The sequence below is a fragment of the Homo sapiens genome, chromosome 2, assembly GCF_000001405.40.
Source record: "Homo sapiens chromosome 2, GRCh38.p14 Primary Assembly".
NCBI classification, from domain to species: domain Eukaryota; kingdom Metazoa; phylum Chordata; class Mammalia; order Primates; family Hominidae; genus Homo; species Homo sapiens.
Window position 1 is genome coordinate 28,343,675 of NC_000002.12, and position 23,700 is coordinate 28,367,374.

At 54.8% G+C, this 23,700-nt stretch overlaps 2 long non-coding RNA genes across 4 annotated transcripts, besides 2 other annotated features; both read left to right on the plus strand.

The window, feature by feature from the left end:
• The first annotated feature begins 5,224 nt into the window (after positions 1-5,224).
• On the plus strand, positions 5,225-10,414 carry LOC105374381 (uncharacterized). Its single transcript, XR_939873.3, has 3 exons — positions 5,225-5,348; positions 5,690-5,848; positions 6,592-10,414. It is a non-coding gene; the product is annotated as an uncharacterized LOC105374381 (long non-coding RNA).
• Positions 10,415-14,702: 4,288 nt separating this feature from the next.
• Positions 14,703-22,182, plus strand: LOC105374382 (uncharacterized). 3 transcript variants are annotated; one of them, XR_007086256.1, is made up of 3 exons: positions 14,703-14,986; positions 16,115-19,557; positions 20,414-22,182. It is a non-coding gene; the product is annotated as an uncharacterized LOC105374382 (long non-coding RNA). The 3 variants fall into 3 exon arrangements; XR_007086255.1 differs by lacking the exon at positions 14,703-14,986 and having other exon boundaries at positions 15,981-19,557; XR_001739354.2 differs by lacking the exon at positions 14,703-14,986 and having other exon boundaries at positions 18,232-19,557; positions 20,499-22,182.
• Positions 15,646-16,845: an enhancer, noted in NCBI's record as "P300/CBP strongly-dependent group 1 enhancer chr2:28582187-28583386 (GRCh37/hg19 assembly coordinates)". NCBI's record gives its function as "activates an origin of replication core promoter dependent on BRD2, BRD4, P300/CBP, MED14 and CDK7 cofactors, with strong dependence on P300/CBP, by STARR-seq in HCT116 cells {active_cell/tissue: HCT116}" and the evidence as "EXISTENCE:reporter gene assay evidence [ECO:0000049][PMID:35650434]".
• Positions 17,244-17,931: an enhancer, noted in NCBI's record as "H3K4me1 hESC enhancer chr2:28583785-28584472 (GRCh37/hg19 assembly coordinates)". NCBI's record gives its function as "activates a minimal SCP1, AML or CMV promoter by ChIP-STARR-seq in naive H9 embryonic stem cells {active_cell/tissue: H9 hESC(naive)}" and the evidence as "EXISTENCE:reporter gene assay evidence [ECO:0000049][PMID:30033119]".
• Positions 22,183-23,700: the final 1,518 nt, after the last annotated feature.

Sequence of the window (23,700 nt, forward strand, 5' to 3'; positions counted from 1 at the left end):
CATATATATAAATAACTTATTTTCAGATGGCTGAGCCAGAGCCAGCCCACAGCTGGAAAAAATTAAAAAATAAAAAATAAATAAACCTGACTTCAGAATTTGTGCCATAGTCTCTGGTTAAAGTCCAAAACACACTTGGTTGAAATAACAGCCTAATATTTGAGGAAAACAAGGTGAAACAGTTGTTACAATTATTAAGGAAAATTACCGAGGTATTACCAAAGACAGCAGGGTCCGTGAACTAATTCCAGGTTGAATAGGAAGCAGTTAACTCTAAGAGGCCTAAAGAAGTGTCTTCCTTCTACAGCGTTCTTGGATTTACTCTGTCACTATTCTCTGATCCCTTTGGAGGAACCACACTTCCCAAGTCTAAGAGGTCGTGCTTGGGGTCATAATAAATCATGGGTCATCATGGCCAGAAAAGTAGCCCCACAAGCAACCCAGGGATGGCCAGAATGAGCCTCCCTGCCCCGGGCCAGCCGCCTCTGCAACACGTTGGGATGAGCCAGCCAAATGGCTTGTGGAGGGTGTGGCATACACTCATCTTCCCCCAAAACAGCCCACCACCCCCTTCTTAAAGTCCCATGGAGCAGGTCCCTCCACAGAAGGCTCCTCGTTCCAGAGAGCCTCTTTGAAACGTGCCCTTTGAGTGAGCCTAGGAGCCAGGCAAGAAAGTGAAAATCAGTCCCTTTCAACTCCATGATCTCGCTTTTGCTCCAAAACGGAACGCTGCAGCTCCCGGTGACTTTTGGCTGTCTGCGCAGGTGCCAGTAGAGCAGTACGTAGAAGGGTGCTGGGTGCCATCTGGAAATAAGGTGGTGGGTGGGTGTTAAAGGTGACAGCTGCCCTCTCCCTTCTCAAGCACCATGCGTGACAGTCCAGGCCCTGTTCCAGGTGGTTCCCACACGGCGCCTTCTCGATCCTCTGACCCTTCAGAGAACTAGGAGAGCCCACCCCTGCAGGCAGCCGAAGCAATGTATCAGGGCAAATCCTGGGGAGGCCAAAAATCATTTGAGTAAGGCGAGGTCTGCCGAATAAGAGGGCCGCTTACCCAGGGTCAGCTCTGAAAGTGTCAATGAGGGACGTAAGTTCAAGTAGGTGTAGGGAAGGATTCGACTGGGACTCATTTCACAGCCCAGCTGGGGACTGATGTCACGCCCGAGGACAGGAGGTTTGGGGCAAGGGTCAGCCTCACACTGCCAGGTTGCCCTAGGGGAGATTCCACAAGGGCGCATTCCCTCGCCACGCACATGCGCAGGCACGCACATCCGTGTGCACGCACTCACCCACAACCAGGGCTTCAGATGAGCTGATCCCCCGCTATCCCACTCCAGCACCCGCTCCTGGGACTCCAGCCCACACCAGGTGGGAGGAGGACTCCTCATCCTGACTCCACGCTGGTGGCTCTCGGCGTGCGTGGGCTGCAGGTTGTACAACCCAGACGGCTGCCTCTGCCTGTCTCTCCCGCCTTTCTACCCGCACCGACACCCAGGCGGCCCCCTGAGGCACCTCCCCTTCCTCGCCGGCTCCTGCCCAAGCTGCCCAGGCCCAGGGGCCCCCTCAGCCTCGCCCACTCCAACTGCCAGCTGTCAGCAGCCAGCGGCCACCAGGGCTAATCCCCTTCACAAAACTAACTCCAGCCTGGAGCCCCGCTTCAGCGAAACCAAGCCCTGGCAAGGCGAATGGGCTCGTTGGCTGAGTTGAGGCCCATGGGCTCTGGAACCAGCCGGCCTGAGTCAAACCTGGCTCCACCACTTCCTAGGTGCGTGAACTTGAACAAGCCAGTTGATCTCAGTTTCCTCCTCTGCAAAATGGAACTTCACCACGCGGTGCTGGCAGGAGGACTCCATGATGAGGGCACTGAGTTATAAGCATTGTAACACTTACACCAGTGCCTGGCACTCAGTGGTGCTCAGAAAAGCCTATCTTTATTATTATTGCCTTTTAGGTTTGGCACAAGTTGCTCCTGGTCCCTCTTCTCACTCCTTCCTTTCCATTCCATATCCCTGTCCTTAAGCGTTTAACTGACCGAAAACAACAAAATCTTTTTTGGCCTCTCCCATACGATAGTCCAGTCCTCTTGCTGGAGCCACTCCCACTTCGAGTGTCTCTGCCAGCTGTCCACCTCTATGAGCTCCCAGGCCCTCTGCCCAAGGCTATCCACCTGCCGCCTCCCCCTCCTCTCTTCCCACAGCTCCCCTGTAAGCCTGTGCTAAGCAGCGCGACCTGGGGGCCCTGACTCGTCACTTCTGTCAAGCTCCTAAATTCCCTTGTTTCCAGAGGTTTTGTCTATTAAGTTACTTTTTTAAATTTTTTTTTTTTTTTTTTTGAGACAGGGTCTCAGTCTGTCACCCAGGCTGGAGTGCAGTGGCACAATCTCAGTTCACAGCAGCCTCCATCTCCTGAGCTCGAATGATCCTCCCACCGCAACCTCCCAAGTAGCTGGGACTACAGGTGCGTACCACCATGCCTGGCTAATTTTTGTATTTTTATATAGACGGAGGTCTTGTCATGTTACCCAGGCTAGCCTTAAACTCCTCAGCTATGCGATTCTCACACCTCGGCCTCCCAAAGTGCTGGGATTACAGGCATGAGCCACCATCCTTGGCCAAGTTACATTTATTAAATAATAATTTATTTCCCCGCTTTTAACCAATAACTCATGTACTTGCCTTCTAAGGATTCCAGTGGGCACTAAGGACCAGTTACCCCACAGAGTGGGCATGTTTTCTAAGGATTCCAGTGGGCACTAAGGACCAGTTACCCCACGGAGTGGGCATGTTTTCTAAGGATTCCAGTGGGCACTAAGGACCAGTTACCCCACGGAGTGGGCATGTTTTCTAAGGATTCCAGTGGGCACTAAGGACCAGTTACCCCACAGAGTGGGCATGTTTTCTGTCAAATCTAGAACACAGGATTAGCCAGGGGGTTCTCCTGTCTGGAAAACATACAATAAACATTAGACTTCTTTCAAGTCTTGACTGCCAGGCACAGCCCCATTGCTGATCTGCTGCAGGCCAGCCCCTGCACTGCGGGCTGTCCGTGATCTATCTGGAGAATCAGGATAAACACAGAGTGTGACCATCCACAGCTGTCGGCTGAAAGATGAGATGCTCCCTCTCCAGTACCCGTCCGTCCCCTGGAGCAGTGCCTGCTTGCTCACATGTGAGCCGCCCTGACAGGCAGCCCAAAGCCAGAAGCAGGGTTTCCAGGGCTGGAGAGGGTATTGTCTTCTGTGGTCCAGAGGCCCTGAGGAGTGTCCCACACCCAGGGTGGGGTGGCCAGGCCTGCAGAGGCTGCAGGAAGAGGTGTTGGGTCATCCTGGAGCCAAAAGGCCTTGACCAAGATGGGCCTAGTGTGACCAGGACACAGGTGAGCAGACAAGTCTGGGCTCTGACAGGTCAGGACGGGCAAAGCATTGATGTAAAATGGAATGGAAAAGCAGCACTGGGCCAGGCAGCCATTCATCCATTCCACACACATCGGCTAAGCTCTTTCTGTGTGCCAGCAGTGGGTACTCTTCGGGGAGCAACAGAACTTGCATCCCATTTATGCACTTGACAGACATCTGTCGAGCATCCTCTCTGTTCCTGGCACTGGGACTGTATGGATAAGCCTAGCCCTGCGCCTGAAAGGCCAGGAAGCTGGGGCTAGTGCACACCCCTGCCACTGATGGGAGAGGCTGGGGTAAGCCACATAACAGAGCTGCAGATCCACACTGCTGGCGTTCAGCTGAAGCAAATCCTGGAGGGCTTCCTGGAGGAGGGGCCAGCTGGGCATGGTTTTAGACTCTTGGTTTCTTTGCTTCATTGTGGTGGTTCGGTTTCTGGCGAACTCTCCCATGGGGCTGAGGTGCACACAAGGTCTGGTTCTCATGCATGCAGTCATGTTGAGCAACTACTCTGTGCCAGGCACCATTCTATAGCAGTATAGCAGTAAATACAGCACCACAACCCCTGCCCTCATGGGGTTTCCATTCCCATCAGGGGAGAGGGGGTATGAACAAGATATACAGAGGGAATGTTAGGAGCCAAGCACAGGGAAGAGAAAGCAGGGAGGGGTGGGAGTGCATTTTTAGCCAGAGAGGCAGGGCTGGCCTGGCTGAGGAGGTGACGTCTGAGCCAAGGCCTGGAAGAGGCAAGTGAAAGCGGTAGTCCCCAGCTCTCCTCCCGAAGCCTGCCCCAGGCCCCAGCCCCGGGGCGTTGCCTTGGGTCCCTCCAGAACCTGCCCAGCGGAGCTTGTCCCTGCATCCAGAACGTCTGAGGTGACAGGCAAGGAGCAGTGGGGGTTAAGGAGATCGCGGTGAGCTGAGTCCTGGCTGGCCGTCCCTGACCACACTGACGGTGGCTTCCCTGACCTAGACCTCCTCATCTGTAAAATACCAAGCCTGTTTCACAGGCTGGTGCTAAGAACAAGGCAGATACGGTGAGGGGAGGCTTTGGGGACAGTAAAAGGTCATGGCCACGTGAAAACGTAAGCAGGTTGCCACTGCCACCACCTAACACACTGCCCCCGCTGCTGCCAGGTCAGGTTAGGGGCCTGGTGGAGGTGCCCTGAGGAGGTGGTGACAATACCACGAACTGCAAAGGAAACGGGAGTGACGCCCATCCTGCCTGCCCTCCCCGGCCTCAGCCAGCCTCTGGGACCTGCCCTGGCACCCACCCACTAGACAGAGGGGAGAGTGGGGAGGAGGTGCCCCGTGCCAGGCTGCCTTCCCCTTTCACTCAGCCCCAGAGAATCCAGCTGCCTGAAGCAGGCGAACAGGGCCCCCGGAGTGCCTGAGAAGGGCCAGCCATGTTCTGCCCAAAAGCTCTGCCACCCGGGGCCTGGGTCAACAGAGGTGGGTGTGACCTGGAAGGTGGGCTCCCAGGCAGGTATCACAGCGGGCAGCAGGCTTCCAACCCGCCCATGCCACTGCCAGCAAAACGGCTAGCACGAGAGACTTTTCCTCTGTTTTTTTTTTGTTTTTTGTTTGTTTGTTTGTCTGTTTTGAGATGGAGTCTTTCTCTGTTGCCCAGGCTAAAGAGCAGTGGTGCAATCTCGGCTCACTGCAACCTCCGCCTCCCGGATTCAAGTGATTCTCTCACCTCAGCCTCCAGAGTAGCTGGGATTATAGGCACCCACCACCACACTCGGCTAATTTTTTGTATTTTTAGTAGAGATGGGGTTTCACCATGTTGGCCAGGCTGGTCTAGAACTCCTGACCTCAGGTGATCCACCCATCTCGGCCTCCCAAAGTGCTGGGATTACAGGCGTGAGCCACCGCACCTGAACTTTTCCTCTTATGAAAGGAGCAGACACCAGAAACGACGCAGGCTCCCTCCTCCAGACAGAACCACGCTCAGCGTGTAGGTATTTAACAGCGTTCAACAAATATTTTGTACTTATTTATTCTGAGGCAGGAAATGATATCCCAGCTGAGGTCTGAGGACTAAAGGGGTTTCCTTCCAGTCTTTTTCCTATTCATTGTTAACATGCTTAAAAACAATGGAAAACAATTGCGGATCTTGTTTCGTTTTTCTATTTTGTTTCCCGAGTGTTTACCATCTTGCCATCTTTGGTGAACCCATCTCATATTTCTCCATAGTTCACTTACCCCTTTCCGTTATTTTTTAGCCATTTGAATTATTTCTTGATTTTTCCCTATTATATATCTATCCCATAAATAATCACTTGTACCTTTCTGTAGGAAACGCACCTGGGTCAGAGTCACCTAAGATTGGTCAGCAAACAACAGGGAGAAACGAACGTGGTGATGGCGTCAGTTCATGCCTCAAAGACTGCAGAGCTGGGGGAAAGAAGTGAATGTGCTGGAATATTCTGGCAGCTCAGTGGAGGAAGGGCCGAGGTGGGTGCCTTCCGTGAGACAGTGAGAAGCGTGTTGAGCCTCCAGGCTGCGAGGCTGCACCTAGAGTGGGAGTGAGGAGAAGAGAGGCCATGGTTGAAAGAGTTGGCTTCTGAAGGCCTTCCCAGCCGAGCTGAGGTGACCAGGTGGCTGCAGGAGGACACAGCAGAGGAGGGACAGGACAAGGCTGTCCGTGGGAGTCCCTGTGCCAGTGTCCAGCCCACCTTCCTCGCTGATGCCATGAGCTGTGGACATGGCGGAGGTGACTGTCCTCTGCCCGTACCAAGGACTGACCCCTGGGCAAGTCTTGAGGTGGACTCACCGGCCTCCAAAGTCGTGCCCACCCCCTGCATCACCTCAGCCAGCCCAGAAAGCCCCCAGAGGGAGGGGAGTGTTTTCCTGAGTAGCTCAGACCCGGGACAGGTGCCCATGTTGGGTTTCCAGGGCTGAGCAGTCCCAGGCCACCAGATAGTCCCAAGTCTGATCCCAACACCCATACTGGGCCTGAGCTTCCTCCACTTCCTCCTCCTCTTCCTCCTCCTCTTCCTCCATGAGGAGGCTCAGAGCCACCCTGGCTGCCTGATAGGCTGACGGGAGCAGGGGAGGGAGGCTTTGAGTTTGGTCTGTCTTTTCTTCCAGGGGCTCAAAGCACTTTATAAGTATTAATTTCCTTCATCCACCTCAGCTGTTGTCCTGTTTGCTCTTTATATTTCATTATGAGCTGAGGTGTTGTGTTTAATCCTCAGGCATTCAGCAAGAGGGAATTCCGCAAGCCAGACGCAGCGGAGGCGGAGGACGCAATCCCCGCCAGCTCCTGGGACCCAAGGGCCGGGTCCCTCCCGGGCTTGTGCCCAGCTTGTCCTCTCCCATCCCTGCCTCTGGCCCGGTATTTGCTCCCAGCATCCTCAGCGGCCGGCAGGGAAGGCGTCCCTGGGAGGCCACCGTGGAGTTGTAGTGGACCCAGAGGCAGTGAGGTCTGCGGAGGAGAGCACTCAACAGGTAGGTAGGCGACCTGGGCCCCACCACGCACTGCAGTGTGACCCCAAGCAGCTCACTTCACTCCGAGTCCTGGTTTTAATAAAACATAGGACAGCGGGGATGAGACTCTTATTAATATCACATCACAGCCTGTGGAAGGGCTTTATAAATGCTAAAGCTCTGTGCTAATGTTCAGGGCACTGTACCCCTCTCCATAGGATGAGGGGTGGGTGAGATAAAATGACCCCATGGGGACATCCAGCCCAGACTTGTCACTCTGACTCGGATTCTAAGATGAAACGAGCTCATTCCCTCCTCCCACACAGCCCTGGGCCTACACCCCTTGGCCCAAGTGACCAGAGTGGAGGGCTGGGGAGGGAGATGGGTCAGGAGGTATAGCTCGGGGAGCCACAGATGTCCTGACCTGAAGGAGCTCCTTTCAGAGCTATGTGATGGGCCAGCTACGTTACCCGTGACCGCTCAGACGCAGGTGGGCCTTCAGAGTGTCCACACCGGTGAGGGTGATGTCAGCCCACCAGGGCCCGTCGGCCTGCAGGGCCGCCCTGTTAGGCTGTGTGGTTTGCCGATGTGGTACTGCCTGCCCAGAGGAAGGGATGCCTTTTGTTGCATACAAGGTTTCCATCTACAGGGCCAAGTCTTACCCAGTGGTTGCTGAGCCTGCAGGGAGGGGCTGCCCTCTTCCCAGCAGGCTTACCTGCCCCCTCTGGCAGGAGGGACCACCCCTTTTTCCTAAACACATAATTACAATAACAATACAGTCCCCAATCCCTTGTCCACAATTCCAAACTCCCAACGCTCTGAAAATCCAAAGCCTTTTTCTTTTCTTTTTTTTTTTTTGAGATGGAGTCTCGCACTGTCGCCCAGGCTGGAGTGCAGTGGCACAATCTCGAATCACTGCAACCTCTGCCTCCCGGGTTCAAGCGATTCTCCTGCCTCAGCCTCCTGAGTAGCTGGGATTACAGGTGCCCGCCACCACGCCTGGCTAATTTGGTGTATTTTTAGTAGAGACAGGGTTTCACTACGTTGGTCAGGCTGGTCTCAAACTCCTGACCTCGTGATCCGCCCGCCTCGGCCTTCCAAAGTGCTGGGATTACTGGCGTGAGCCACCGTGCCCGGCTGGCTTTTCCATACCTTATTTAGCAAAACCTAGCCTAACCTAAGTCCTTTTTTTCTCTCACTTTGAGTAAAGATTCACATTTCAATGAGGAAACCGTAATGTGTTTGAGCATGGGGTGTTTCCCCAGATCTCACTGGGTTATACATGACATTGGAATATGCATATTACCTTTTTAAAACTCCAGAAGCAGACATTCTGAAACACATACGACCATGGGTTTCCGCTAAGAAATAGATCTGTAACAACCAGCACTGAGTATACAGGCTTCCACATATCCCCAGCACTGTGCTGTGTACTCACAGGCACCAGTTCATGTAATCCCAGCAACTCAACTTATTTCATGTTATAGCTGAAGCCCAGGGAGGTTAAGTAGCCTTGCCAAAGTCACACAGTTAACTCAGGGGTGGTGCCAGATTTGAACTCCGGCAGTTTGGCTCCCTGTTACTAACCCTAGGCTGTACAGATGAGGAAACTGAGGCCCAGAAAGCAGAAACTTGCTCAAGATCCTCTGATGGGTAACGGTTGGAGCTGGGCCGGAGTCCTTGAGCCCCAAGCCTTACCTGCTCCTGTCTGTTGGGGACCAGTTGGGGGTGGTGAGGCCACCAGCAGCAGCCCAGGAACTCACAGCCTCCTCAGGCTGAGTTTGTCCAGCCCATCCGGGAGGAGCTTAAAATAGAAGAAGTTCCCATGGAAAAGTTTTAAGACTTCACTGGATTGAAACCAGATGACCCTGTGCAAACAGACCCCACCAGCAGGCACAGGGTCTGGGCGTGAGCTGTGCTCCCTACGGCTGTTCCCAGCCTGCCCTGGGGAGGGAAACTGCCCTGGGGGTGCAGACAGGCCAGCAGGGAAGAGAGCCCAGGGACAGGGGACACCAGAGCGGCAGGCCTTTGCTGTTGGGAAGGGGTGGGAGACGTCTTCCCCAAGGCAGAGAAGTGTCCCCAACACTTTCACTGGCTCCATCTGTTTCCCAGCTTCTGAAGATGGACAGAGAACTTGGAGACAGCATTCACCCATTCTCCCACCCTGCCAATCGTCTCCCTGTTCCCCCACTTATTCTTGCCTTTACTTGCACGCCACAGTCATACGGCAAACACAGCACCTCCTTGACACGGAGGGCTATGTGTGAACCACTAGGGACACAAGAATGCAGCAGACACTGTCCTGCCCTTTGGAAACTCCCAGACACACTGAGCAGTCGTCACAGCAGGATGGTGGGGGGTAGGGGTAGGCTGGGGACACCTGAATAACCCTGGCCGGTCAGCGGGAGCTGCACAGACGAGGTTTGGAGCAGGACCCAGAAGGGAGGGAGAAGAAGGGGTGTTCTGGGCCAGCGGTCAGGCCTGGTCACGCCAGCTGGCTGGCACACAGGGTGCGCGGAGAAGGGCAAACAGAAAAAGGGGCTGGAGGGAGGTGCGGACCCCATTAGAGGGCCTCATCGCCCCATTGAGTTTCTCCTGGGAAGGCTGGGGAGGCAGGAGATTTTATGTCTTCCTGGACTCCAGGTTGGTGGAGGAAGAAGACTCTTCTCCGTGCAGCGGCCAGTGGTAGTGACCTGAGCACTCCTCTGGGGCAGGGCCTGTCCCTGTCGCCTATTCAGCCCAGCCTCTGGCACATGGCTAAGCACCATAGGAATAGATTGCTCAATCTCCCCATGCCTAGAAACCAAGTCCCTGCTGCTCCTAGAAGGATGAGACCACCAGGGAAGTGGGAACCTGAACTGGGTTTTTTTTTTTTTTTGGAGGGGGTGCGGGGGGGACAGGGTCTCACTCTGTTGCCCAGAATGGAGTGCAGTGGCATGACCTCAGCTCACCGCAACCTCGCCTCCTGGGTTCAAGTGATTCTCTTGCCTCAGCCTCCTGGGATTACAGGCTCGCACCATTATCACCCGGCTAATTTTTGTATTTTTAGTAGAGATGGGGTTTCACCATGTTAGCTAGGCTGGTCTTGAACTCCTGACCTCAAATGATCCACCCGCCTAGGCCTCCCAAAGTGCTGGGATTACAGGTGTGAGCCACCACGCCTGGCCTGAACTGGGTTTTATATGATATTAAGAAATTGTTGTACCATGGAATACTATGCAGCCATAAAAAGAATGAAATCATGTCCTTTGCAACAATATAGATAGAGCTAGAGGCCATAATCCCAAGCAACCTAATGCAAGAACAGAAAACCAAATACCACGTTCTCACTTATAAGTGGGAGCTAAATGTTAAATACACATGATCATAAAGATGGGAACAGTAGACACTGGGGATCACTGGACTGGGAAGGGAGGGAGGGGGGTGTGGGCTGAAGAATCACCTGTTGGGTACTATGCTTACGGTCTGGGCGACAGGGTCCCTGGGACCCCAAGCCTCAGTGTCATGCAATTTGCCCATGTAACAAATCTGCAGGTGTACCCTTTATAATAAAAATTGATTTTTTTTTTTTTCTGAGATGGAGTCTTGCTCTGTCACCCAGGCTGGAGTGCAGTGGCATGATCTCAGCTCACTGCAACTTCCACCTCTTGAGTTCAAGCAATTTTCCTGCCTCAGCCTCCCGAGTAGCTGGGATTACAGGCACGCGCCACCACGCCCAGCTAATTTTTGTGTATATATATATATTTAGTAGAGATGGGTTTTCACTATGTTGGCCAGGCTGGTCTCGAACTCCTGACCTCCAGTGATCCACACCCCCTCAGCCTCCCAAAGTGCTGGGATTCAGGTGTGAGCCACCGCGCATGGCCAAAAGTTGAAATTTTTTTAAAAAGAAATTGTTAACTTTATTAACATTTGCTAAGACTTGGCATTATAGTTATGTTAAAAAAAAAAACGAATCCCTCATTCTGTTGGACATAAAAACTAAAGTATTTATGGATAAAATAATATAGTGTCTGGCACTGTTATAAAATACCAAAATTTTTTTAAGTTAGCTAAGAAGTAAAGAAGGGCCAGTTGTGGTGGCTTACACCTGTAATCCCAGCATTTTGGGAGGCCGAGGCAGGAGGATTACTTGGGTTCAGGAATTCAAGACCAGCCAGGGCAACATATGGAGACCTCATCTCTACAAAAAATAAAAAAATTAGCCAAGCGTGGAGGCACACATCTTTAGTCCCAGTTACTCGGGAGGCTGAAGTGGGAGGATCGCTTGAGCCCAGAAGGTCAAGGTGGCAGTGAGCCATGATCATGCCACTGCACTCCAGCCTGGGCAACAGAGTGAGACTCTGTCTCAAAAAGAAAAAAGAAATAAAAAAGGTAAGATGACAATGAGCCTTGAAGCTGAGTGATGGGCTCTCAGGGCCATGATAGTCCCTTCTTCTTTTGTGTGTTTCAAGTTTTCATGGTTTTAGTTACAAGTGGAGACAGGAACACATGAGTTCCCAGAGCACCAAACTTGCAGGGTGGTTGGAGCAGAGAGGATGAGACCTCACTCGTTCCCACCTTGGAAGTCAATGGGATCAGGGATCCCTTGGAAGTTGAGGGATGAGAGCACGGGCCCAGGGGGCATCAGCCCGTGGCAAGTCGCTCAGCAGGTTGGGAGCCTCAGGCTTCCAGCTCAGGCCATGGCGCCCCAGGTTGTGCAAGACAGAACTCCCCACTGTCTAATCCTCACATCCAGTCACCGGTCCTGTTTATTCTCACCCCAAAATCTCTCTCAGATCCACCTACCTTGCCCCATTCCCTCTGCCCACACCCCCCTCCTTCAAGCTGCCATCATCTCTTGCCCTGCCCACTCCAGTAGCCCTGGCTGGAGGCCAGGCCACCCTTTTGTCCCCATCAGTTCTCCTTGCACTACCCACTCTGCATTAGTCCGTCCCAGGCCCTCATTTACAGGCGGGAACACTTAAAAATGGACACTTGGCTGGTTGCGAGCTTGGTGCTCGGGAGCTGATGAGAGGCACAGACCAGGCCCCCTTCTCGGACTCCCAGGCTGGGACATTGAAGCAGAGAGCTGTGTCTACGGATGGGTCTGCCTGGGCAACCAGCTCTCCAAGAGCAGAGCTTAAGCTGCAGTCCTGCCTGGATGCAGCAGACATGGCTGGCTGGCTGGCTTCCAGAAAGGTCAGGCTGGCTGTTGATGGCTGACCTCACCGTCCTGCCCAACTGGAGAGGTTACTGTGGCCACAGCTGCCACTGTAGATAAGGTTGCCTGGGGACTGCAGTAGCCCCATCTCTGGCTCCTGTGTCACTCAAGCTTGGCCTGTGAGTGGGCCCGGAGCAGGCCTCACCCAGCCCACTGAGGATGGCAATGGTGTCCTGGGGGCCTCGCATCTTCTAGGGTTCCAGAGCCGGGGATGGAACTGGGCTCTGGACAGCAGGATGGCAGGGAACAATGCCACCCACCCCCTCCAGAGCCTCCCAAATTAATGACCACAACAGGAGGGAGAGCAAGGAGAATTGTGAAGAACTGAGGAGGTGGTGGCTGGCCCAAGTCTGTATGATTGGAGAGGCATCCCTGTTGGTTCCTTCCATCTCCACACAGATGCTTAATGAAGAAAACGGCTTTTCGGTGCCTCCCAGCAGCCACACACAGCCTGGGCAGGCCCCACAGAGCAGCGAAGGCCCAGAGACTTGACTTTCCCAGGCCCCTCCCACCCAGAGCAGGGCCCACGAGGCAGCTTCTCAGTCACGAATCAGCCTGTGAGGCTGGCGCTGCGCCTGGGCCTCCTGCCAGGGGCGTGAGGAAGGGAGTGCTGGGTTCAGACACTGTCCCTGCCGCCTCTGGCTCAGGGCTCACTGCCTGTGGCCGTGCCTCTTCCCCACCTCCAAGTCACCTTGGGCCTGGCAGTCCAGCTCAGAGTCCTGTCCTGCCTTCACTCTGGAGCACCTAGCAGCCACTTCACTGAGGCTCAGCTCCTGAGGATGGAGGAGCAGAGGACAGGCTGCTGAGAGGAGAGGGTGGCTGGGGACTGGGGGCAGAGGGAGCTGCACAGGGCTCCGAGCAGGCAGCTGTGTCTACCTAGGAGTGACTCCTGGTGTCGATGGATGACTCGGGGATAGAGTCTGGGGTCTGGAGGCCCTGCAGCTGGCACAGCCTGTCCAGGAACAGTCTAGCTGAGCTCTGGGAGCCCAGGCCAAGGACAGAGCCGCCCTGCCTGGTTCCCTCCCAGGCTCTCCCAGAGACCACCCACGTGGGCCCTATCAGCTGGGATCATTCTCCAGCCCTCTGGCTCAACCCACAAACCCACTGGCTCCGAGCTGCCCAGGCCTCCCTCCCTGGAACGGCTAAGTCCCAACAGCTGACCCTGGCAGGCATCTGGGCCACAGGGAGAGATGGGAGAGAGTGGCTTCAAGTGGAGGAGGGTGGCACCACCCTGGATGGGCCTTTGACCCTGAGGACACAGACTTCTGAGTGGGGCCCAGGCCTGAACAGCGGGAAGGGAGGGTGGGCAGCAGACTATCACCTAGCACCAGCTTTGCTCTGGTCTGGCTTTGATCTCCCTCCCCAGGCCCTGGGCTCTGGCCCCATAGAACAGTTTGCTGCCCTCACACAGGCATCATGGCTCCTTCCCTTGAAACTGGGCTCAGGCCAGTCTGTGTCTTGGGAGTGCCCGTGCCTCCCCCTGCCAGTCTAGTTCCTGCCTGTCCTCAAGGTTCAGGCCCTTCACAGGGCCCTGGCTCCCAGCATCTCATGCTCTGCATGTGCACAGCACGTCTTTCTGGAAGGTGCATCCTTCTGCCTCAGGTCTGAGGCACAGTGCACGCTATGGACCACAGGTCCTACAGCCTGAGCATCCCAGAGTCCACTCCCAGCTCCGCCACTTCCTAGCTGGGCGATGATGGACAGGAAACTGAAGCTCAGTTGCTCATCTGTAGAATGGGAAAAATAATAGCCACTTCACAGGTTGTTTTTCTTATTGTTTTATTGGGCTTTTTTTTTTTTTTTTTTTTGAGATGGAGTCTCACTCTGTCACCCAGGCTGGAGTGCAGTGGCGCGATCTTGGCTCACTGCAACCTCCGCCTCCCAGGTTCAATCAATTCCCCTGCCTCAGCCTCCCAAGTAGCTGGGATTACAGGCACCTGCCACCATGCCCGGCTAATTTTTTGTAATTGAGTAGAGATAGAGTTTCACCATGTTGGCCAGGATGGTCTCGATCTCCTGACCTTGTGATCCAACTGACTCGGCCTCTCAAAGTGCTGGGATTACAGAGTGAGCCACCGTGCCCAGCTTTTTTTTTTTTTTTTTTTTTTTGAGACAGAGTTTTGCTCTTGGTGTGATCTCGGCTCACTGCAACCTCTGCCTTCCAGGTTCAAGTGATTCTCCTGCCTCATCTTCCAGAGTAGTTGGGATTACAGGCGCCCACCACCACACCCAGCTAATTTTTGTATTTTTAGTAGAGACAGGGTTTCACCATGTGGGCCAGGCTGGTTTCGAACTCCTGACCTCAAGTGATCCACCTGCCTTGGCCTCCCAAAGTGCTGAGATTACAGGCGTGAGCCACCGCACCCACCTCACAGGTTGTTTTTTAACAAGGATTAAAGTGGAAGAGGATTAAAATGAGACATCTGTGGGACCTGCTTAGGCTGGGGCTCAGGATGTGCAGTGATTATTCCGCACCGTGGTGATGGTGGCAGTGGTCATCGTTCCTATGGTGAGTCCTGAAAAGAGCGTTGATTTTCTGAAGACAGGAACATGTCTTCTGTCTCAGTCTTCTCTGCCCTCCCGCCCACTCCTACTCCCCCGCCCCGCCGACCCCGACCCCGCCCCAGTGCCCTGCAGAGGGAGCCTGCTGGGCATGGGTAGAGAGCCCATGAGAACCTGGTGCAGGTGGAAGGAAAGGGGACCCCACAGGGAAGGTAGAAGGGCCAGGGCTTTCCCCAGCAGTGGCCAGATCTGAACAGAGATGACTCTGTGTTGCTGTGGCCACTCCAGACCCCAGACCGCAGCCTGATATCCAAGCTCCCGAGGGAGCAGAATGCATCAGCCACCTCAGAGAGGAGGCGCAGCCCAGTCAGGGCCCCACGTTGTCACGGCTCCAGCTGTCCTCAGGAGGGAAACTGTCTTGCAAGCCTGGAGACTTCTGGTTGCTTCTCGGAGGAAAGGTAGCATCTCCCTTCCTTTCTGGGAAACAAACATTCCCGAGTACCAACTGCGTGCCAGGCCCATTGCTAGCTGCAATCTTAGGCGAGTCCCAAACCTCTCTGAGACTTGGGCCTGTCATCTGGAAACAGAGTAGTCTATAAAAGATTGACTTCAAAGGGCTGTGAGGACAGTCAAAGAGACCATAAAGCACAGAGCTTGGGCAGGGGTGGGCATTCAGGAGAGGTGGTGGCCCCTTCCCCTGTGCCTGCCCCTGGGAAACCCTGTCCCCTACCTGGCTGGCAGCACAGGAGACGTGGAGAAGGGACAACCCGGTCTGGGGACGGGGCGGTTTCTCCAGGCTGGGCTGCCACTGTCTTCCTTCCCTGTGTGGGTGGTGGCTCAGGGCCTGGTGGTCTGCCACAAAGGTCCAGAAGGTCCACCCTTTCTGGTGGCTGGGGGTGGCAGTCAGGGGCTTCAGGACAAGCCTCTGGCTGCTGTGGCCCCCTACCCTTCCTCTGCACCTTGGGAGCCCCAGCCCCTGGGCTGTCTGAGTCTATGCTAACAAAGTAGGAGCCAGAAACGTTCCTTTAGACACAGGTCACTGTGAGCCTTGGCTAAGCCTGGGGACCTCTTCTCGGCCCTGGCTACGGCCCAGATGCCCACCCTGAACCTTCCACGAGTCAGGGCAGGCACCATTTCCCCAGGACCAGCTGAGCAGTAAAGTCTCTTCTGGTTTATCTGGAGGAAGGAAAATGACGTCATGAGGTAAACCGCACAGCCTGAAACCACGAGGCTGGGCGCCCCAGTGATGTTTGCTTTTCAGCAAAAGTCACCATGCACACAGAGGGACAGGGAGCCCAGGCCATTGTGGTCAGAGGGTCAGGGGGAAGACAGAGGGAGATTTTTTAACACGGAACCACAAGGAAGGAGAGGCCCCCGGAGAGGACGGACGTCAGAGGCCAGAGGGCGGCTTCCTGGGGTGCTGTGAGAGACTTGTCACCTGCTGGGTGGGGCAGTCTCTGCTGGTGTCTCACGAGGTCTCGGGCTTGGCACCTGAGGCATGCAAAGTCACGTTTGCCATGGCGGGCACAATAATAGTGGCAAGAATAATAATATCGATAACGCATCCTGACCATGTGTCTCTGTAGCCCTGTCACCTCCTCACCACCGTCCCATAAGACGGGACCCTGCGAGGCAGACGCAGCCTGCACACAGAGGAGGGAGGGGAGGCTGCTGGGGCTCCGGCCTGTGCTTTCGCCTCCAGACCATGGAGCTTCTTCACCCACATGCTGGGTGCCGTCCAGCCTGAGGCCTGTGTGCAGGGTCCCGGTTTCAAGCCCCGATTCCCACCTGCTAACTGTGACCCAGGAAGCCCCACCCCCCGCAGCCCTCAGTTTCTTCACCTGCCAAACTCCCTGCCTTCGAGGTGAGAGATTACGTAAGTAAGGTAAAGCTTATTCTTCGATACCGTTCTCTTACTCTGTCAATGCTTTGAGCAGGGTTCCCTGGAGAAACTGGCCCCAAAGCGTGGGCCCAGACACTGGTCTTGATGGGCTGGCTGAGGCGGGAGCTCCGTCTCATGGGAGTGGATGGGAGTGGCAGGCAGGTGGGTGGCACCTTCTGTGGAGCGGGGGCCAGTCGGCAGCTTAAACGAGGGCAGAGAGAGCTGTCTAGGGAGGTCCAATGGGGCTTCACTTTTCTCAGGAATCTCAGGGTCTCCAAGCCCCCACTCTAGGGTGGCATGAGTTTGGGGGGTTCCTAAAGGAAGTCCCCTGTGTCTGGGTGTGCCTGGGTGGCAGTGTAGGGGCAGGTGTGGTGCCCACATTGTCCATATGTCCTCACCCGCCCCAGGCCCCAGGCCCTCTGCCTCAGGGTGGGGCCGCAGCTCAGCTTTGATGCCCCTGAGGGCCTGCCTGCCGGAACTGCTGTTTCAGGCAGGAGGTGGGAGGACGCAATGCAGGCGGGGTTGCCCAACCAAAACACCCTCAGCCCAATTCCTCCCACAGGCCTCCTGGAACCCGCATTTCTTCAGTGGAGTCACAGCTTTTTGGGCTATGGCTCCTCTTTTCAGTTCTTTTTCTTTATAACACAAAGACACCATGAGAGAGGCCGTACTTCACAATCCCCAAGTGTTAGAAGGCAGAGGGTCTTCCAGACAGCCACCACCAGGCCTGTGCTTTACAGAGGAGGAAGCTGAAAGGACTGGTCCAAGACCACACAGCGGGGAGCAGGTGGCAGCACGGACGCTCGAAGCTTGGTCTCTCGCTGTGGAGTTTTCTCTCGCCTGTCTCTACCGCTATCATCCTAATACTGAAGCATCAGGTCCTTTTTCAAGACACCACCAGCTACAAGCAGAGGGCAAGCCTGGGGCTGAGAAGCACTGTGGGGAGGAGGGGTGGAGCTGGGAGAGGGTCACGGGAGTCAGGGGCCAGGGAAAGCTGCCAAGCAGAGACAGCCTCTCCTGCCCCTTTCCCAGGGCTGACTCAGCACCTTACGCGTGAGGATTTGTCATCAACAACTGACCCCAAAAGCCATGGTGCCCTGGGGTTGGTGTCCCAGTGATGCTTTTCTGACTCGTGGCCCAGGATGACACAAAGCCCCAAGGGACAAGCCAGAGATCCCACTGGCCCAGCCAGATGCTCCAAGATTCCTTTTGCCTGTAACCCAGAACTGGCCCACCCTCTTGCCTGGTTACTGGGGCTTTCACGAAAGAGCAATGGACAGTGGGAAGGGCTCGCTGTGAGGCAGGATCAGTCCTGGGGCCCTGGGAGTGTCTCTTCCCTTCCCCGAGCCTCAGTGTTCTTGTCTGTACAATGGAAGTTCAGGTCAGATGGTCTCTGGATTCCTTCCCAGCTCTGAGAACCAGGTTCTACCTCAGCTGTTCTCAGAAAGGACAGGGTGGTCCGGGCTGGGCATGGGCTTGAGGCTTGTGCCCCTCTCCTAGCCCCAAGGACTTCCCATCCTTTCAGGTCCCGCTGGGGCTCAGCTGCCCAACTCTGATCAGAAAGAAGAGCTGTAAGTCTGGCTGGGCGGTGGCTCATGCCTCTAATCCCAGCACTTTGGGAGGCCAAAGAGGATGGACTGCTTGAGCCCAGGAGTTCGGGACCAGCCTGGGTAATGTGGCGAAACCCTGTCTCTACAAAAAATACAAAAATTAGCCAGATGTGGTGATGTGCGGCTGTAGTCCCAGCTACTCAGGAGGCTGAGGTGGGAGGATCACTTGAGGCCAGGAGGTCAAGGCTGCCATGAGCTAAGATCACAACACTGCATTCCGGCCTGGGTAACAGAGCAAGACCATGTCTCTAAGAGAGGGGGGAAAAAAAGCCATGGGTGTCTAAGCTGCAAGGCCCCCCAAATCCCTGAATCCCACTAACCATCTCCCAAGTGAGTAGAGGGAGGCCAAGAGAGGGCAAGCAGCTGTCTCATGTCTTCCCTGAAGGAACCCTCTCATGGGACAGCTGGACACAGCCAGGCGGGAAGGACTCTTCACCAGCCCCGTCTCCATAGTCCCGGCTGCCATCACTGCTGGCATCGACACTGACCCTCCAGCTCCAGCACCAGGTCACCACCCTGCCCCTCATCCATCCTCCTCCTCCACGCGTGATGAATGAGCTTTTCTCATTCAATCATTCTCAGGGGCAGCATAGCGTGGCCAGTAGGAAGGAGGATGCGGGAGCCAGCCTGCCTGGCTCCACCACCCACCAGCTGCTTTTATTCCCTGCCTGCTCTAGTTCCCTGGCTGTAAAATGGGGATACAAATAATATCTTCCTCATCAGGTCACTGGGAGGCTTAAATAAGCCCATACTGTAAAGTGCTTAGAACAGGGCCTGCCACGTAGTAAGTACTCCATAATTGCTATCATTCATCCATTCATTCATTCATTCATTCATTCGTGAATTCTATCCTGCCTGTTTCTGAAAGAGTTGAGATGACTCACAGTGGAAATGCAATGATAACAGGCCTTTAAATTCAGATTAAAAGAACACAAGCCTAGGCTGCAGAGGAGAGAGTGTCCCAGAATCTGAGCCAAGCAAGCCTCACCTGAATACAACCTCCCGGCGTCTCATCCAAAACATAAAGGTTGCTGGTATCAATTCTCCTTTTCTGATGAAAGGAAGCATAACAGCTTTCCAGCGGAATAGAAGATTTTTTTTTGGTTCAAACTTTATGAATGACATTAAACAATGCAATGAGTAGCCTCCCCCTCACCTCACCCTGTCCGCCTTTTTAATCAACTCCTGAGAAATGGGGTCTGCTCTTCTTCCCATCCCACTCCCCATCTCCAGACCCTGCGGAAGCCTGTGGTCCTGGAGAGCCTGAGAGCCCTCAGAGCGATACCTTCAGCTATCCCAGGAGAAGGACACTCTTCGCTTTCAGCACCAGGGGAAAACTAGGAAAAAGCCAAGCCACTGAGTCAATGAGGGCCTTCCCTCAGCTGCAGACAGCAAGCCCCTTCCAGGCGCTTCCCCGCAGCTACGGCAGCAAGTGCCCCAGGGGCAGGGCCGGGAATGCTCACTGAGAAATCCCAGAGCTGCCTGCACTTCCTCTCACCGGCTTCCCCTTCTCTCAGCAGCCACAGGCACGGGAAAGGTGAGCAGGGCCTTCCACGCTCGCCTGAAAGATCTGGGGGCCCAGCAGGGAAAGGTCTCATTCCATCTCCTCCAGGACCCAGGGGGAGTAGCATGGTTCTAACTGTGGCCTGAGACCCCCTTCACGGACATAGGTATCACCAGAGAATGGCGCCCTGAGCCCTCACCCCCCATGTGTGTATGCGTGTGCAGACACACACACTTCACCAGGGCACCGCTGCCTGGCTCCGCTCAGGGGACGATGGGAATCTCCTTCCTGTCCTGCAAGCCTCTGCCTCATCTTTGAAAGACTCACAGAGCCCCCAATTCTTACCCACCTGTTAGGTGGGAAATTCCAATCTGGGCTCTGAAGGGAGTGGCCCCTCACCCCCTCCCTTTCCCAGACCCTTCTCAGCCTCCGGGATGTTTCCCCAGCAGCCCGTGGGCTTCCATCCTCAGTTGTGGGCCTTCCAGTGGGTGGGCATTCATCACTGCAGACAGCACGCAGAGGAGCCCACCCGCTGGGTCCCTGGGGCACCGCAGCCCCTCTCCCAGTCCCTGTCCCTATTCCCTGAATCACAGGCAGCAGAGAAGCTGGCCCCATGTCTGGCCTCACTTGCCCTCTTGGCTGGGGAAGTTTCTTTTGGTGGTAGCAGAATGTGACTAGCCAGGACGTGATGACCTGCCACTCAAGGCTGGCTCATACACTGATCATGAGAATGGTTTGCTGAGAGGGGTTTTTGAGTGTGAGGAAAGTCCCAGCTGGTCTTGGACCCTGGGTACCACTGGGGTGGGGTGGGTGGAGTTAGATCGGGACCTGGGGCTTGTTGGGTGGGGTGGGTGGAGGTGCCAGGGCCTTCCTCTCCTGCCCCACTCAGGCCTTATCACCGCTCACCTGACTGTGGCCACAGTCTCCTCCCTGTCAGCGTCTCCCCGCCCAATCAACGCTTCACACCTTTGCAGCTGCTGATTCCCGGAGGACCACTTACACCAAGCACTGTGAGCTGATCGATGGCAGAGTCTCTCCAGCTCATGAGTCTTCAGTGACTCCCCATTGTCCATGGAAAACAGAAGACACCTGAGGCCTTGCACAGTGGACCTTATTCTCATCCCTCCCTCAGGAGAATCCTCTGCCTCGAGCCGAAGGCCGTGGGCTCTGCAGACTCCAGGCCTCTCCTTCCCAGGGCGGTCTTCCCTTTCCCTATGCTCAAGGCACAGCCCAAGTCCCACCTCCTCCATTGCAAGGGACACCACCCTCTGAATTCCTGTTGGGGAAAGAGCCTAGTTTTGCAGCCAGATAGGCCCGAGTTAGAGTCTCAGCTCAGTTCCAATCCCATTAGCTGGTTGCAAGTCATTAACTTTGTCAACCTTCAGTAAATGGAAATCAGGCCCACACTGTAGGTGCCTGGGGGTGCTGATGGTTGAGTGGAATCTGTTCTTTTGACCTTCCCAGCATCTTTCCCCTTCCCAGCATCCTTTCCCCTTTCTTTTGGTGATGTCGCCTGGATTTTCTGTTGGGTATGTGGTCCAGGGGTGGCTGACCTCACTTCCTGGTTCCAGCATAAGATCATGACTGAGAGCTGGCCAATGAGAATATTCCCTCGCCCCAGCCACAGAGTCAGATTCCCGGGGATGAACTTGTGAGTCAAAACAGGCTGGTGGGAACACACTTGGGGTGTTAGCTGGAGTTATTGAAGCTTTCTTTCCCACTGGAGTCACTAGGTAGATAGAAGGAAAGCTGAAGCCTTTAGCCACTGCTGTGGGTTGAAGTGTGTACCCCAAAAAGATATGTTCAAATTCTAATCCCCTGCACCTTTGGAGGTGGCCTTGTTTGGAAAAAGGGTCTTTGCAGATGTAGGCAAGTGAAGATGAAGCCATCCTGGATCAGGGTGGCTTGTGGCTTGTGTCCAATGCCTTGTGTCCTTCTAAGAAGAGAGAAATCGAGACACAGACACACACAGGGAAAAGGCCGAGTGATGACAGCAGCAGAGATGGGAGCGCGGCAGCTACAAGCTGAGGGATGCCAAGCATGGCTGGCACCACCCAGGAGCCTGGAGAGAGGGAGGGGACAGCCTCCTCCTTAGAGCCTCGAAACACCCTACCCACATCCTGGCTTCAGACTTCCAGCCTGCACAACTGGGAGAGAATCACTTTCTGCTGTGTTAAGCTACACTAGTTCATGGTGATTTGTTACAGCAGCTGCAGGAAATGAACACAGACACCAAATGGAGATACTGTGTCTGAGATTGAAGCCAGCACCGTGGAATCAGAGCTGCCAGGAGGGAGACGTGGACTCTCGACCCTGTGGCCACACTTGGTTCCCCCAGCAGCTGAAGCACGAAGTCTACTGGACTTACTAGACTTTCCAGTTACCTGGACCAATATATTCTCTGTTTTACTTAAGCTGTTTCGATTGGATTTCTGGCTATTTCAACTGAGAGAGGCCTAACTCTCAGTTATACAGAGACAATGGATGTAAAATGCATTGAAGGCCAGGCACAGTGGCTCGCGCCTGTAATCCCAACACTTTGGAAAGCCAAGGCAGGAGGATGGCTTGAGCCCAGGAGTACGAGACCAGCCTGGGAGACGTGGCAAAACGAAACCCCGTTTCTACAAAAAAATACATTAAACCATTTTAAAAAGAAAATATAAAATGTATTGCATGCTGCCTGGCCAATGGGAGACAGTGGAGTGAATGTAGGAAGTAGTTAGTAGAGTAAATGGTATTTATTATTACTGCTATTGCTGTTGTTTCTATTTCCAGCTAGGCTGAGCACTCTTGAGTGGCATAAGGGCCGAGTCTCTATTGGGCGTGGGAAGCAGGTTCTGAGGGGGTGGGGCCTCCTGTGGATAGGGGGACAGGAAGCAGGACTGGGCAGGGTGAGGCCAGGCTGGGATATGGGCCCGAGGGCAGCCTCAGCCAGCCCCACAGGGGTTCTGGAGCCAGAACTGCTCTTCAGAGTCCCCCTTGGGCCAACGGTGTCAGGCCTTTCTGCTGTTGCATCCTTCAGTCACTGAAGCTGGTTGCCTGGGAAGAGGTGAGATCCTGGGAAAGGTGACTCCCTGCCACTGAAGCTACCCCTGAAAGGGCGCACGGCTAAACGGCCACCCTCCTAGCAGCCGGGGCAGCAAGTCTTTCACCAAAGGGTGACCTGGGATGGGCATCACAGCGCCCACCACACTCAGTGCATAACTCTGGGCTGGCACCCGATAAACACTCATTATTGACAGCAGTCATTCGTTCACTCAAAACCCAAGGTCGATGGGGTAGTCAGGTGGCTGCGTGGTCTGAGATGACGGAGCTCTTTGGGGGTGTTGCCCTGGTGGAGGCTAGGGGTGGGATCAGAACCTAATGGAAACACCACAGGGGGCAGGAGGGGATGTGGCCAGGTCGGGTGTGACCAGGATTGGTTGTGCGGCCTTGTCCAGGGCTGGCACTGATAAGATCCAAGGCGGTGTCCGCTGAATGAACCAGGCTGCTGACCAGGGTGCTGTGAGCAATTCCCATCGCTTCCCTCTGGGCTGTGAGGCTCCTGCGCTGTAATATTTCTCTTCCTTTCTTAATGCTGATTTCGTTGTGTGTAGGGTAGAGTTCAGAGGCTGGCTAAGCCTTTAAAGGCTCCTTTTTTGAGTCTTGGCCAGGCCAACCCATGGCCCAGCCCCTATCTCAAAGCCAGGCACTCCCTCTTATCAGATAAGAAACCACGACTCAGAGAGAGGAAGCTAGCTGTTCAAAGTCACAGTCGGTGGTTGGGCCAGGAAACGGGACCCACTTCTCCCTCCCAGGCCTTCCTCATGTGCAATGCAGGCCCCCAGCTCAGGCCACGCTCCTCTGCCTAGCGAGGGTCCCAGCCTCTCTGCCTGCATCTGGCTTCACGCACACTTTCCGAGGGCAGGGGCTGCCCGGCTGCTACAAGCCGCAGTGGTAGGGCAGTGACTTGGCTGAGGGGGACATGGGGCTTGTCATTCCTCCCAGGGCTTCTCCAGGAAGTGACAGCCAGAAGGGCCCTGGGAGGCCGCTTGGTTCGATCCCACCCCCCTTTCCCATATCACAGGTGACTGGAAAGTCCAGGCCCCTGAGGTAAGGAGGTCACATAGTGAGTTGTCAGTGGGGGCAAAACCTGAGTTGCTTATTTGTTTTCCCTAAATCGCTCCTCTCCCTGAG